Source organism: Homo sapiens, chromosome 13, assembly GCF_000001405.40.
Source record: "Homo sapiens chromosome 13, GRCh38.p14 Primary Assembly".
Classification (NCBI taxonomy): Eukaryota; Metazoa; Chordata; class Mammalia; order Primates; family Hominidae; genus Homo; species Homo sapiens.
Window position 1 is genome coordinate 28,128,919 of NC_000013.11, and position 12,584 is coordinate 28,141,502.

The window sequence follows — 12,584 nt, forward strand, 5'->3', positions numbered from 1 at the left end:
TGAGGTGGTATACACCTGTAGTCCCAGATGTTTGGGAGGCTGAGGCAGGAAGATCACTTGGGCCCAGGAGGTCAAGGCTGTAGTGAGCCATGATTTGTGCCACTTCACTCCAGCCTGGGTGACAGACTGAGACCCTGTCTCAAAAAAGAAGAAGCAATCAGATCACTATTACACAATTAGGTAAGCAGTATGTCTGGAATGTATGAGGTCCCCTGGGGCATCTCACAGTACTCCCTTGCCCAGTGATTAAAGTCAAACTATAACTATCCCCTACAGACAGGACTGCTAACAACCCAGACCCTTAAAAATGAAGATGTGGGTCACCTCACCAGATAGGAATCATGAAAGCCTGGGTGGCTGCTGAAGGCAAAGGAAACATGGCATAGATAGTGGAAGAAGGAAGTACAGTAAGTCCTAACTTAAGGTTGTCAACAGGTTCTTGGAAACTACACCTTTCAGTGAAATGATGTATGAAGAAAACAATTTTACCAGAGGCTGATATAAACAAGAGTTAAATCCCTTAATCAGACTCTATTTATGGTCATGAAAACATCAACAAAGTTCTAAATAAAGACCAAAGCACTTCTAATATTAAACATTGAAAAAAATGTGGGCTATACATACATTTAAGAAATATTAATAAAAATAAGTAAGATAATTATTTACCCAAATATTCTAGCTCAGGGCCATGGGTGGCTGAAGCCCATCCCAGTAGCTCAGAGCTCTAGGCGGGAATCGCCTAGACAGGTGGCCATTCTATGATAGGGCATGCTCACATGACACCTATATTCACTCAGACTGGGAAAATGTAGCTGCAACAATTCTCCTCCTGTACACCGCTTTGGGATGTGGGAGGAAACTGGAGTACCTGGAGAAAACCCACATAAACATGGGGAGAACATGAAAACTCCACATCGACAGTGGCACCAGCTGGAAAGAGAATTTTTCTCATTAATGTTATAACTAAACATTATTGAAGGACCTGTTGTAATAAACAGCTTTGACCATGTGAATAAGGGGCAGAAATGAGGGTTGGAATAGTTATTTCTTCTTTTGAATATGTTTTTGTATATTAAACATCTTTTTTCTCTCCCTCCCCACTCCTCTACCATCGAATATACTTTGTGCCAATGGTAATTAACCTTATAGGATTTACATTACAGGATCATTATAGTGTGATTCAGCTAGGAGTGACTTTATATCCTCCTGTCCTGCAAGGGTTGCTTAAGTTTATGAAGGAAACTGATCATCTTAGCTGGAAACATGACTTTGTTATTGTCAGTTAAGAATGTTTACAGAAAAAGTGTGTATAGATGCCAAGATGTAGACTGTGGTGGCTTTGTACTATGTGAAATTAGCTAAACTGTAACTGTATTTACCAGAATTTCTTTCCTAGTACAGTTCTTCATCACTGTTGAAGACAAGAAGACTTTGTATGCAATTTGGAAGGCAGAAGTGAAGCAGTAGCCAGTGCAGCGTACCAGGCACTATTGCAACTTGCACAGGTTGTCACTGATCTGATAGTGGAGTGAGGAGGCAACGGGCCTGAGGATCTTTCCTTCAGTTTTTATAATTCATGGGCCAAGAGTATGTGCAATGCCATGGCAACTGCTGATGTCAGTGAGAAATAGACGTGTGTTCTAGTTTGTCCTCAGGAATTCCAGTTGTCCTTTTTAGATTCCCCTTTGCCCATGTTCTTGTTCATATCCAGTACTCCTTCCACACTACTGGTTAGGCTGACCCATAGCGGCTTCAGCTCTGCACTAGATGCTGACAATAACACAGCATAGACTCCTCCACCAGTTACTATTATGGTGTCAAATCTAATCCTACAATAAACCCCTCATTCTTTGTTTTTCATAGTGGTTGTGCTTCTCCGATTGAACCCTAATACACAGTTTTCTTATTCTATTACCCCAACCTGAAAGTCTTTGCCTTTTAACTGAAGCTTGATTGTTTACATTTAGTGTATTCAGACTTTAATCTAATTGTTTTCTATTTGTTCCCCCTGTTCTGTTTTCTGTCCTCTCATTTTCGATTAAGTACTTCATTGTTCCATTCCCTTCTATGAGGTTATTTATTATTTTACTTTGCTATTATATTAGTAGCCCTGGAAATTATAACATGTATCTCTGATTTACTTTAGTCTAAGATAAATAACCATTTTTATTACTTTTTTAAAATACAAAGACTTTGCGGTCCTTGATTTATACCTGATGGTTTATATGTTGATGTTTTTGTGTGCTTTAATTCTACATCTATTTAAAACTCCACAAGACACTGTTGTCTTATAGTCAATATTAATTTTTTACCCACATATTTCACTCAATTGCTCTTGATTCCTTCCATCTGGAATAGTGTACATCTGCTAGTGACAAATTATCTCACTTTTTCTGAAAGTCCTTATTTCATCTTCCATTTTATTTTTATTTATTTTTATTTTCTTGGGGGGACAGAGTCTCGCTCTGTTGCCCAGGCTGGAGTGCAGTGGTGTGATCTTGGCTCACTGCAACCTCTGCCCCCCTGGGTTCAAGTGATTTTCCCACCTCAGCCTCCTGGTAGCTGGGATTACAGGTGTGTGCCACCAGGTCCGGCTAATTTTTTTGTGTGTTTTTAATAGAGACGGAGTTTCACCATGTTGTCCAGGCTGGTCTTAAACTCCTTGCCTCAGGTGATCCACACGCCTTAGCCTCCCAAACTGCTGGGATTACAGGCGTGAGCCACTGTGCCTGGCCTTCCATTTTATTTTTATTATTAATCACTTTATTTTAGAGACAGGTTCTCGCTCTGTCGCCCCCACTAAAGTGCAATGGCATAATCGTAGTTCACTATACCCTCGAACTCCTGAGCTCAAGTGATCTTCCTGCTTCAGCCTCTCCAGTAGCTGGGACTATAACTGAACATCACCACGCCCAGCTAATTTTCCTTTTTTTAGACAGAGCCTCCCTCTGTTGCCCAGGCTGGAATGCAGTGGTGCGATCTCGGTTCACTGCAACCTCCGCCTCCTGAGTTCAAGTGATTCACCTGCCTCAGCCTACAGAGTAGCTGGGACTACAGGCGCGTGCCACCACGCCCAGATAATTTTTTGTAGTTTTAGTTGAGATGGTGGTCTTGCTGTGTTGGCCAGGCTGGTCTTGAACTCCTGACCTCAGGTGATCCACCCACCTTGGCCTCCCGAAGTGCTAGGATTATAGGCGTGAGCCACCATGCCCGGCCTATTTTTTCCTTTTTTTGTAAAGATGGGGTCACACTTTGCTGTCCAGGCTGATCTGAAACTCCTGGCTTCAAGTGATCCTCCCATCTCAGCCTCCCAAAGTTCTGGGATGATAGGCGTGAGCTACCACTCCTGGCCTCATCTTACATTTTAAAGGATATTTTCATTAGACATTGAATGCTAGACTGGCAGTTAGTTATTTTCTATAAGTGTACTGAAGATACTAATGATGTGTATTTTTCTTTCTTTTTACCATTCTTAGACTTGTCAAGAGTGTATCTATTTTTATTGTTATTTAAAAATAACGAAAGTTTGGTTTAAGATTTTTAATGTTTTCCATTTTATTAATTTCAGCCTTTGCTTTATGACACATTCCCTTTTCCTCCTTGCTCTTGATTCATTTTTGTCCTTGTGTTAAAGTCTGTTATTATTAATTCTTTTTTAATAATAAAAATAGTTAAGACTGTAGTCTGGCTATTTAAGTGCCTGTAGTCCCAGCTACTTGGGAGGCTGAAGCAGGAGGATCCTTTAAGCCCAGGAGTTTGAGGCCAGCATGGACAACATAGTAAGACCCTGTCTCTTAAATAAATAGAAATATAAATGAAAAATAAGGCCGGTTGCGATGGCTCACACTCGTAATCCCAGCTTTTGGGAGGCTGAGGTGGGAGGATTGCTTGAGCTCAGGAGTTCAAGACCAGCCTGGGTAACACAGTGAGACCCTGTCTCTTCAAAAAATAAAAAATTTGCCAGGACTGGCGGCACATGCCTGTAGTCCCAGCTACTTTGAGGTGGGAGGATCACTTGAGCCTAAGAGGTTGAGGCTGCAGTGAGCCATGATCATGCGACTGCAGTCCAGCCTAGATGACAGACCATGACTCTGTCTCAAAATAAAATAAAATAAAATAAAAAACCTTGTGAATAAATTTTAGCACTTATATTATTGCTCTATAATAGGTCATGTGAAAGGGTTAACAGACAGTAAAAGACAAAGTTTTTTTTTTTTTTTTTCGGGAGCTTCATTTTATTAATAGTATATCTTATTAAGATTCTTGCTTTTTACAGAAAAGTTGTAAAGATTAAGAAAAAAAATTCTGGCCGGGAGCGGTGGCTCATGCCTGTAATCCCAGCACTTTGGGAGGCCAAGGCGGGTGGATCACCTGAGGTCAGGAGTTTGAGACCAGCCTGGCCAACATGGAGAAACCCCGTCTCTACTAAAAATACAAAATTAGCTGGGGGTGGTGGCGCATGCCTGTAATCCCAGCTACTCAGGAGGCTGAGGCAGGAGAATGGCGTGAACCCGGGAGGTGGAGCTTGCAGTGAGCCGAGATTGCGCCACTGCACTCTAGCCTGGGCGACAGAGTGAGACTCCGTCTCAAAAAAAAGAAAAAAAAAATTCTTGCTTTAATACATATCTTTTTCAGCAAGTCTCCTGATTTAAAGTTTTTCATCCAAGTATAAATTAGAAAATCTAAACTGAAATAAACATAGTCTTTGAAATAGTAAAATCAATTATTAATAGAGAATTATCCGATTTAAGATTATAATGGTCATATTTCACATACAAATATTAGTTTCTGGAGTAGGGGGTGCTTAACCAACAGAAGTGGTAATAGTGAGTTTTGCTAAGTTAAAGGTACTTCTATATGGCTGGTGGTAGTTGTATGGGATGATACCAATGATATACTAGATTGTCAGGGCCATTTCCAAGATATAATTAATTTCAAAATCATATTTGCCTTTAATGTATTTCACAAGAATATAATAAATATGAGCATCTTGAAATCCTTTGAAAACTTGTATAGAAAGGTAACAAATTGCTTTTACTGCCATAAACACTAAAAAAACCTATGTAGTATATATCAGTACATAAGTATGATGATAATGATGAAAGACTATGTCTTCTATAAAGGGTCATAGATACATTAAAAAATCTTTTTTTTGAGACGTAGTCTTGCTCTGTCACCCAGGCTGGAGTGCAGTAGCACGATCTTGGCTCACTGCAACCTCTGCCTCCCAGGTTCAAGTGATTCTCGTGCCTCAGCCTCCCGAGTAGCTGGGATTATAGGCACTTGCACCAGGCACTTGCACCACCACGTCTGGCTAACTTTTGTATTTTTAGTAGAGATGGGGTTTCACCATGTTGGCCTGGCTGTTCTGGAACCCTGGCCTCAAGTGATTCGCCTACCTTGGACTCCCAAAATGCTGGGATTACAGGCGTGGGTCACTGCGCCTGGCCAAAAAATCTGTCATGTATCAGTTATTTATCACTGCCACAAATAGGAAGGTTTTTGCTTCTAGTGCACCCAAAATTTGTCAACAAGATTAAATTAAGCAGTTGCTAGTAACTTTGTATAAAATTATAGAGCTTAGTGCATAAGGAACATACTTTACAAATATGTAAGAAATGTATTTATACATATGCAGCAAATTTCATTTCTAGGACTCAAAAACAGTCAACTCTCATTTATCCACATGCAGTTTCCACTCTATCTTAAGGGATAATTTTTATTTTTTTTTGAGACAGGGTCACCTTTTTTTCACCAGGTGACACCAGGGTTGCTGTCACCTAGGCTGTCACTGCAGCCTCGACCTCCTGGCCCAAGCAATCCTCCCACCTAAGCCTCCCAAGTAGCTGTGACCACAGAATGCCACCATGCCCAGCTAAATTTTTTTGTAGAGACAGTGTTTCCCTATGTTGCCTAGGCTGGTCTCAGAACTTCTGAGCCAAGTGATTCTCCTGCCTTGACCTCCTAAAGTGTTAGGATTATAAGTGTGAGCCACATGCTTGTCCTTAAGGGAGAATTTTTAAGACTCAGGCTGCTATCACTAATATAATAATTAACCATTCAGAAAATGTGACGTTTTCCTCTCAATCTTTATTATTATTAATTTTGAGATGAAGTCTCGCTCTGTTGCCCAGGCTGGAATGCAATGGCGCAATCTCGGCTCACTGTAACCTCCGCCTCCCAGGTTCAAGCAATTCTCCTGCCTCAGCCTCCCGAGAAGCTGGGATTACAGGTGCCTGCCACCATGCCTAGCTAATTTTCTGTATTTTTGGTAGAGACGGGGTTTCACCACGTTGGTCAGGCTGGTCTCAAACTCCTTACCTCAAGTGATCCACCCACTTCCGCCTCCCAAAGTGCTAGGATTACAGGTGTGAGCCAATGCGCTTGGCCTCAATTATTAGCATTTAATAGAAATTAACATTACCCTTTAGCAATGTAGTCTCTGTTGCTGGGGAAATGCTGTTGGAGGTCAAGTATACATTTTATGAATAATTTATGGATTATTTGCAGTTTTGGATGTAATCTTCATTAACATGAAAATAACTTAGAGTTGACTACATATTTATTTTTAGTAAAGGAATACTCAACAATGAACCCTGCTTAAAAAGACAACCCTACTATAGGAATAAGTAGTTGTCTCCTAAAAAAGTGTGGAGATATGAAATGTGTGGCAAATAAGTTTATTTTTTATTTATTGACCGAGAGGGTCTCACTGCTGTGCAGGTTGGCATAAAATGGCGCCTTCAAAGCTCACTGCATCCTGGAACTCCTGAGCCCAAATGATCCTCTGCCTCAGCCTCCCCAGTAGCTAGGACTATAGGCAAGTGCCTCTACACCTGGCTAATTTTTAAATTGTTTTGTATAGACAGGGTCTTGCTAGTTTTCCCAAGAGGGTCTTGAACTCCCGGCCTCAAGTGATCCTCTTGCCTTGGCTTCCTTCCAAAGCAGTGAGGTTAGAGGTGTGAGCCACTGTGCCCTGCCATGTTGACTTTTAAAAACCCTGTAATAACTTCCAATTGTCCTCAAGAAAAAGTTCAATTCTTTTTTTTTTTTTTGAGATGGAGCCTTGCTCTGTCGCCCAGGCTAGAGTGCAGTGGTGCGATCTCACTGCAACCTCTGCCTCCCGGGTTCAAGCAATTCTTCTGTCTCAGCCTCCCGAGTAGGTGAGATTACAGGTGCCTGCTACCACACCCAGCTAATTTTTGTATTTTTAGCAGAGACGGGGGTTTCACCATGTTGGCCAGGCTGGTCTTGAACTCCTGACCTCGTGATCTGCTCGCCTCAGCCTCCCAAAGTGCTGGGATTACAGGCGTGAGCCACTGCGCCTGGCCAAAAGTTCAATTCTTTAACATGGCCCTACAAGGACTTTTGTGGACTCTGCTCCATTTTCCACTATCACTGTATTCTAACAATAAAAGCTGTTTGCCTAGAATGCTCTTTGACTATACACTGACTACCACTAGCAGCAATACTACTTTTTTTTCGAGATGGAGTCTCGCTCTGTCGCCCAGGCTGGCGTGCAATGACGAGATCTCGGCTCACTGCAACCTCTGCTTCCCAGGTTCAAGTGATTCTTATGTCTCAGCCTCCCCAGTAGCTGGGATCACAGGCGCTCGCCACCACGCCCAGTAATTTTTTTGTATTTTTGTAGAGACGGTGTTTTACCAGGTTGGCCAGACTGGTCTCGAACTCCTGATCTCAGGTGATCCACCCGCCTTGGCCTCCCAAAGTGCTGGGATTACAGGCGTGAGCCACTGCGCCTGGCCAATACTATTAATAATAGTTACAACCTACCGAATTCTTATTAGGCATGGGACAGTTTATATACATTATTAGTTATACTTTATGAAGTAGGTACTATTCTTAATCCAGGTGTACAGACAAGGCACAGAGAAATGAAGCAATTAACTGAGAGGAACACAGCTATTAAAGTGTAGGCACTTTAATCTGTTTCAATCCAGATCTGTCTGAATTCAATGATGTTCCCAAACTTGGAACATGAAAATATCAACTTTCTCCAAGAAGTCTGACATGTTTAATATCCTCTAATAGCAAATGTGATAAGGTTAGCACTTAAGACACTGGTTTACAACGGACCTGTGTACTTGATGCCTCCCCAACCGGAAGATAAGCCATCTGAACTCACTTAAGGCGGCATGTTCACTTTTGCTTCCCCAGCTCCACAGTTAAGTGTACCACAGTTTCTGGTACACGTAATGCGTGTTAATAAAGATTTGTTGAATAATCAAATAAGCGAAACTGCTTTTAAACAGAAAGCCATAATACAATGTTATTACCTTCGAATTTGGCTAGAGAACATCACCAAGCTTACCAGTTTGTGATCTAGACTCCACTTTTCCCCATTTTTTTCAGTGTGCTACTTTTGCTTATATCCATTCTTCTGTGACTTTGTTTGCCACAATTCCTTAAATACTTCCACCCCTCCTTTTCATAACAGCGATCTGCCGTTTGTGAACCTCTTTTACAGAGAAAAACTAGAATGTTACTTTTCCTTTCATAGCAATTCTTTAAAATTTCTGAAAGCCTTTAAAAGGGTATTAGCGCAAACATCAGAGATCGCTGAGGTTAAAACTATCTTTTAAAAATGAATTTCACCGTCTCAAAAAAAATAAAAATGAATTTCAAATCAAGGCTAGGCTGATTGGAGAAAAGCAACCTAGTATATTTATAAAGGTCTTCCAGTGCTGTCTAAGCAGTGTTGTCCCAGGTGGCATCCTATTTTTCATAATTTACCGAAGGCCCTTGGTAATATAAATACAGAGAATAACAGGTGCTGCACTGAGCAGGGGGTCTGTCTAAATCAACCTTTTTGGCTCCATTTTTTGACAAAGGGCCAAGAGGTTAGCGTAATCGGTCCAGTAGTTCTCATTACCTTCGAGGGGAAGGGGAAAGAGGAGAGGGGCGAAGAAAGGAAACGGGGAGAGGAAGTGTGGCAAATAGAAGATATTCTTCAGGTAGAGCCAGGGCTCGGGCCGCGTCCCCAGGTGGCCCCTCCAAACGACCGTTTACCTTGTCAATTTTCTCTTTTCAATGAAAAAAAAAAAAAAGACATCTGGCTTTTTAAGTAAGAGAATATACAAATAAGGAAGGTATCAGGTCTCGTGAGAATTCGGCGCCAGATCCGCGTCCGGAACCCCACCGAGAGCCGCCGGTCCAACCGCCGATAGCTCGCGGATGCCCCCGGGGGCCCGACGCCGGCCAGGCTTCCCCTAGCGCTCCCGCTACCCATAAGCCCTCGCGTCTCAGCGCGCACGCGCAGCGGCGACGGCCGTCTCAGGAAGAGGAAAATGGAATAAACAACTCGGAGGAACCAGAGCGCGAGAGAGCGAGTGGAGGCAGAATTTAAAAATAAACCGGCCCCTCCGCCTTCCCCACCCGCTTGCCGCTGCCGCTCCCTCTTCCCCTGCCCGCGCCCTCGAAGTCCCCGTCTGGGCCCGCGCGCTCACCCCGTCGTCCCGCGCGGCCCCTTTAAGAAAAGAGAACGAGAGAGTGAGTGAGAGAATCCCAACTCTCCCCCTACCCTCCCTCCTTCTACCCCCTCCTCCCTCCCCTCTCCCCTCCCCCTTCTCCCCGGGCGGCTCCGGCTCCCGCAGCGGGACAGACCCACCCGCCCAGGCTTTTATCCGGCACCGGCAGCGTCTTCCTTTCCTCCCCCGTCTATGGTGGTGGCGGCGGCGGCTCCTCGGGCGGCGGCGGAAGACGAGGCTGCGGCGTTGCCATGAACAGTGGCGGCGGCCTCCCGCCCCCCTCGGCCGCCGCCTCCCCTTCCTCCTCCTCGCTGGCGGCGGCGGTGGCGGTGGTGGCCCCGCCGGGGGTCGGGGGTGTCCCCGGCGGGGCGGCGGTAGGAGTGAAGCTGAAGTACTGCCGCTACTACGCTAAGGATAAGACTTGCTTCTACGGGGAGGAGTGTCAGTTCCTGCATGAGGACCCTGCCGCCGGGGCTGCCCCGGGCCTCGGCCTCCATAGCAACAGCGTCCCCCTGGCTCTGGCTGGTGCACCCGTGGCCGGCTTTCCGCCGGGAGCCGTCGCGGGCGGGGGAGCTGGGCCGCCCCCCGGGCCCAAGAAGCCGGACCTGGGGGACCCGGGGACCGGAGCCGCAGCCGGCGGAGGAGGCAGTAGCGGGGGACTCGATGGACCGCGGCTGGCAAGTGAGTGTTTTTCGGGCGGGGCGGGCCGCGGCGGCGGAGGGCAGGCCTGGGCCGGATGAGGCCCTGCTGCCGACGGGAGCTGAGCACGGCCCGCGGGCTCCCCCCCTCACCTCCCAAGGCGGTCTGAGAGGCCTAGGCCGGGCCTGAGCCCTCCTTCCTTCTTCCTGCTTCCCCTCCCCACTGCCTTCGGCAAGTCGGAGAGCGCGGGGAGGTTGGGTTCCCGGGAACGTGGGTGGGAGGACTGGGGTGATGTGAAGGGGGGGCGGGGAGGAAGGGGGATGGGCTGTGGCGTGCGGAGTGTGAGAAAGGGGGTGTCGTTTCCGGGGGGTGTGGAAAGGGGCTGGGTTTGCAGGCACATGTGTTTTGCGTGTCCTTGTGGAGTGGCGTCTGCAGAGTGTTGAGGTTCCCTAGTGGGGAGGGGTGTGTTTGTGTGTGTGTGTGTGTGTGTGTGTGTGTGTGTGTGTAGGGGGCGGGAGGTGAGGGGCGGGCTTAAGGCTTCGTGGAGTAGGTTGAAAGAACGGAAAAAGTTTGTAGAAGGCTTGCGGGAGAAAGGTTTTGCAGGCAGGAAATGCTTTCTAAGGATTAGGAGGGAGCGGACTGTCGCGTTCAAAGTGTGCTCAGGTTTAATCGAGAGTTTAGAGTAGGGATTTCACAAAGACGCATTTCATCTGAGTTTCCCTGAAAGCTAGAATAAGTTTGCTGGTGTCAGCTGGGATCCTGTCTTCTATAGCTTTGTATCAAGCAAACTCAGCATTGTGTCTTGAATGCATGTCATGTGCAGCCTGCGTTTATGTGCGACTGAGCACTTGGGTGGGGACATCTTAAGGCTGTTTATATTTCTTTTTCATGTGTTGTTGTTGTTGTTGTTGTTGTTGTTTTGGAGAGAGTCTCGCCCTGTCGCTCAGGCTGGAGTGCAGTTGCGCGATCTCAGCTCACTGCAACCTCCGCCTCCCGAGTTCAAGCGATTCTGTTGCCTCTGCCTACGGAGTAGCTGGGACTACAGGCGCGCGCCACCACGGCCAGATAATTTTTTGTAGTTTTAGTTGAGATAGTAGTCTCGTTGTGTTGGCCAGGCTGGTCTCAAACTGCTGGCCTCAAGTGATCTGTCCTCCTCAGCCTCTCAGTGTGTTGTTATCTATTGACCTGAAGCTTGTTAGTTGTTAGTGGAGTTTACAATTGAATGTGAGCGTAATCTGTTAGAGAATGTTGCCTTTACGAATAGAGCCGGTGCCAGATGTCCCTGTTTTGTTTCTTAGTATATTGAGCGTTTCTAAACCAAATAGGAGTCCTACTTTCTTGGGAATTCTGGAGAACTAGATCTTAAAATAATCTGATAGGCAGTTCAATTTGTACATGAGAACATTTTGTCTTTTTCTTAAACACTGTTAATGAACCTGATAGGAAGTTTTAGCATTTAATTGGTCTATGAGGATTATTTAATATCTTCCCCGGGGTTTTGCTTTCTTGCTTTTTCTTTCGAGACGGGATCTTCCTATGTTGCCCAAGCTGGCCTGGAACTCCTGGGCTCAAGCGATCTTCCTGCCTGGGCCTCCCAAAGTGCTGGGATTACAGGAGTGAGGCACCATGCTGGGCCAAGTGTTGTTCTGTTCTGTTCTTTTCTCCTTTCTCTCTTCTTTCTTTTTCTTTTATAGAAGTGTTTCATTTGTTGTGATGGGCTTGACTTTAATGAAGATATATTTGCTAAGGCTGATAATGCTAAGAAAATTAATTTTGTAAATTCAGATGTTTTGTAAAACAAATGGTTACTTATGGGTGGAATTTTATCACTTTCGAGCATCAACTTTGCATTTTCAGGTTAAAGTTTTGCTGGATGTGTGAGTCGTGACTCAGTAGTAATGTTTGATTAGTAACCAATGACACTGAACAATAGTTTTCTTACTGACAGAAAGAGACACTTTTTTTTTTTTTTTTTTTGAGACGGAGGCTTGCTTGTCGTCCAGGCTGAAGTGCAGTGGTGCGATCTCGGCTCACAGCAACCTCCACCTCCCAGGTTCAAGCAATTCTCCTGCCTCAGCCTCCCAAGTAGCTGGGTTTTACAGGCATGCGCCACCACGACCGGCTTATTTTTGTATTTTTAGTAGAGACGGGGTTTCGCCATGTTGGCCAGGTGGGTCTCGAACTCCTGACCTCAGGTGATCGTCCCGCCTCGGCCTCCCAAAGTGCTGGGATTACAGGTGTGAGCCACTGTGCTGGCCAGAAAGAGGCACTTTTTAAAATGCTGGTGTTAGACTTCATAGGTGATCTTTCTAGGATTCTCTTTTTAAAAAAAACTTTTAAAGTTTTATTTATCTATTAATCTTATTCCTGACAGACAGCTCTGACGATCATTCTAGGATTTTCTTTTTCTTTTTTTCTTTTTTTTTTTTTTTTTTTTTTGAGACGGAGTTTCACTCT

The 12,584-nt window shown here is 45.1% G+C and overlaps 1 protein-coding gene and 1 long non-coding RNA gene across 12 annotated transcripts in view, besides 4 other annotated features; one reads left to right on the forward strand and one right to left on the reverse strand.

Annotated features, from left to right (window-relative positions):
• Positions 1–7,924: 7,924 nt before the first annotated feature.
• PAN3-AS1 (PAN3 antisense RNA 1) lies at positions 7,925–10,256 on the reverse strand. The gene is made up of 2 exons (NR_029383.1): positions 9,629–10,256; positions 7,925–9,487 (listed from the first exon to the last, which is right to left on the reverse strand). It is a non-coding gene; the product is annotated as a PAN3 antisense RNA 1 (long non-coding RNA).
• PAN3 (poly(A) specific ribonuclease subunit PAN3) overlaps positions 9,275–12,584 on the forward strand; it is a 157,143-nt gene continuing 153,833 nt past the window's right edge. For 10 of the 11 annotated variants that reach the window (XR_941549.3, NM_175854.8, XM_011535032.4 and 7 more), the window contains exon 1: positions 9,627–10,169. Coding sequence is in view for 9 of the 11 variants with exons in the window: in NM_175854.8 (NP_787050.6) it covers positions 9,740–10,169 (430 nt within the window). In the remaining 2 variants the exon portion in view is untranslated. Of the gene's footprint in view, positions 9,511–9,626; positions 10,170–12,584 lie in introns of those variants that run through there. The other variant, XM_011535034.4, reaches the window with a different exon arrangement.
• Positions 9,472–9,581: a silencer, noted in NCBI's record as "silent region_5208". NCBI's record gives its function as "represses an Ori minimal core promoter by ATAC-STARR-seq in GM12878 lymphoblastoid cells {active_cell/tissue: GM12878}" and the evidence as "EXISTENCE:reporter gene assay evidence [ECO:0000049][PMID:35858748]".
• Positions 9,772–9,851: a silencer, noted in NCBI's record as "silent region_5209". NCBI's record gives its function as "represses an Ori minimal core promoter by ATAC-STARR-seq in GM12878 lymphoblastoid cells {active_cell/tissue: GM12878}" and the evidence as "EXISTENCE:reporter gene assay evidence [ECO:0000049][PMID:35858748]".
• Positions 9,892–10,291: a silencer, noted in NCBI's record as "silent region_5210". NCBI's record gives its function as "represses an Ori minimal core promoter by ATAC-STARR-seq in GM12878 lymphoblastoid cells {active_cell/tissue: GM12878}" and the evidence as "EXISTENCE:reporter gene assay evidence [ECO:0000049][PMID:35858748]".
• Positions 10,374–10,668: an enhancer, noted in NCBI's record as "tiled region #11800; K562 Activating DNase matched - State 1:Tss, and HepG2 Activating DNase unmatched - State 1:Tss". NCBI's record gives its function as "activates a minimal TATA promoter and a strong SV40 promoter by Sharpr-MPRA in K562 cells, with weaker activity in HepG2 cells {active_cell/tissue: K562 | HepG2}" and the evidence as "EXISTENCE:reporter gene assay evidence [ECO:0000049][PMID:27701403]".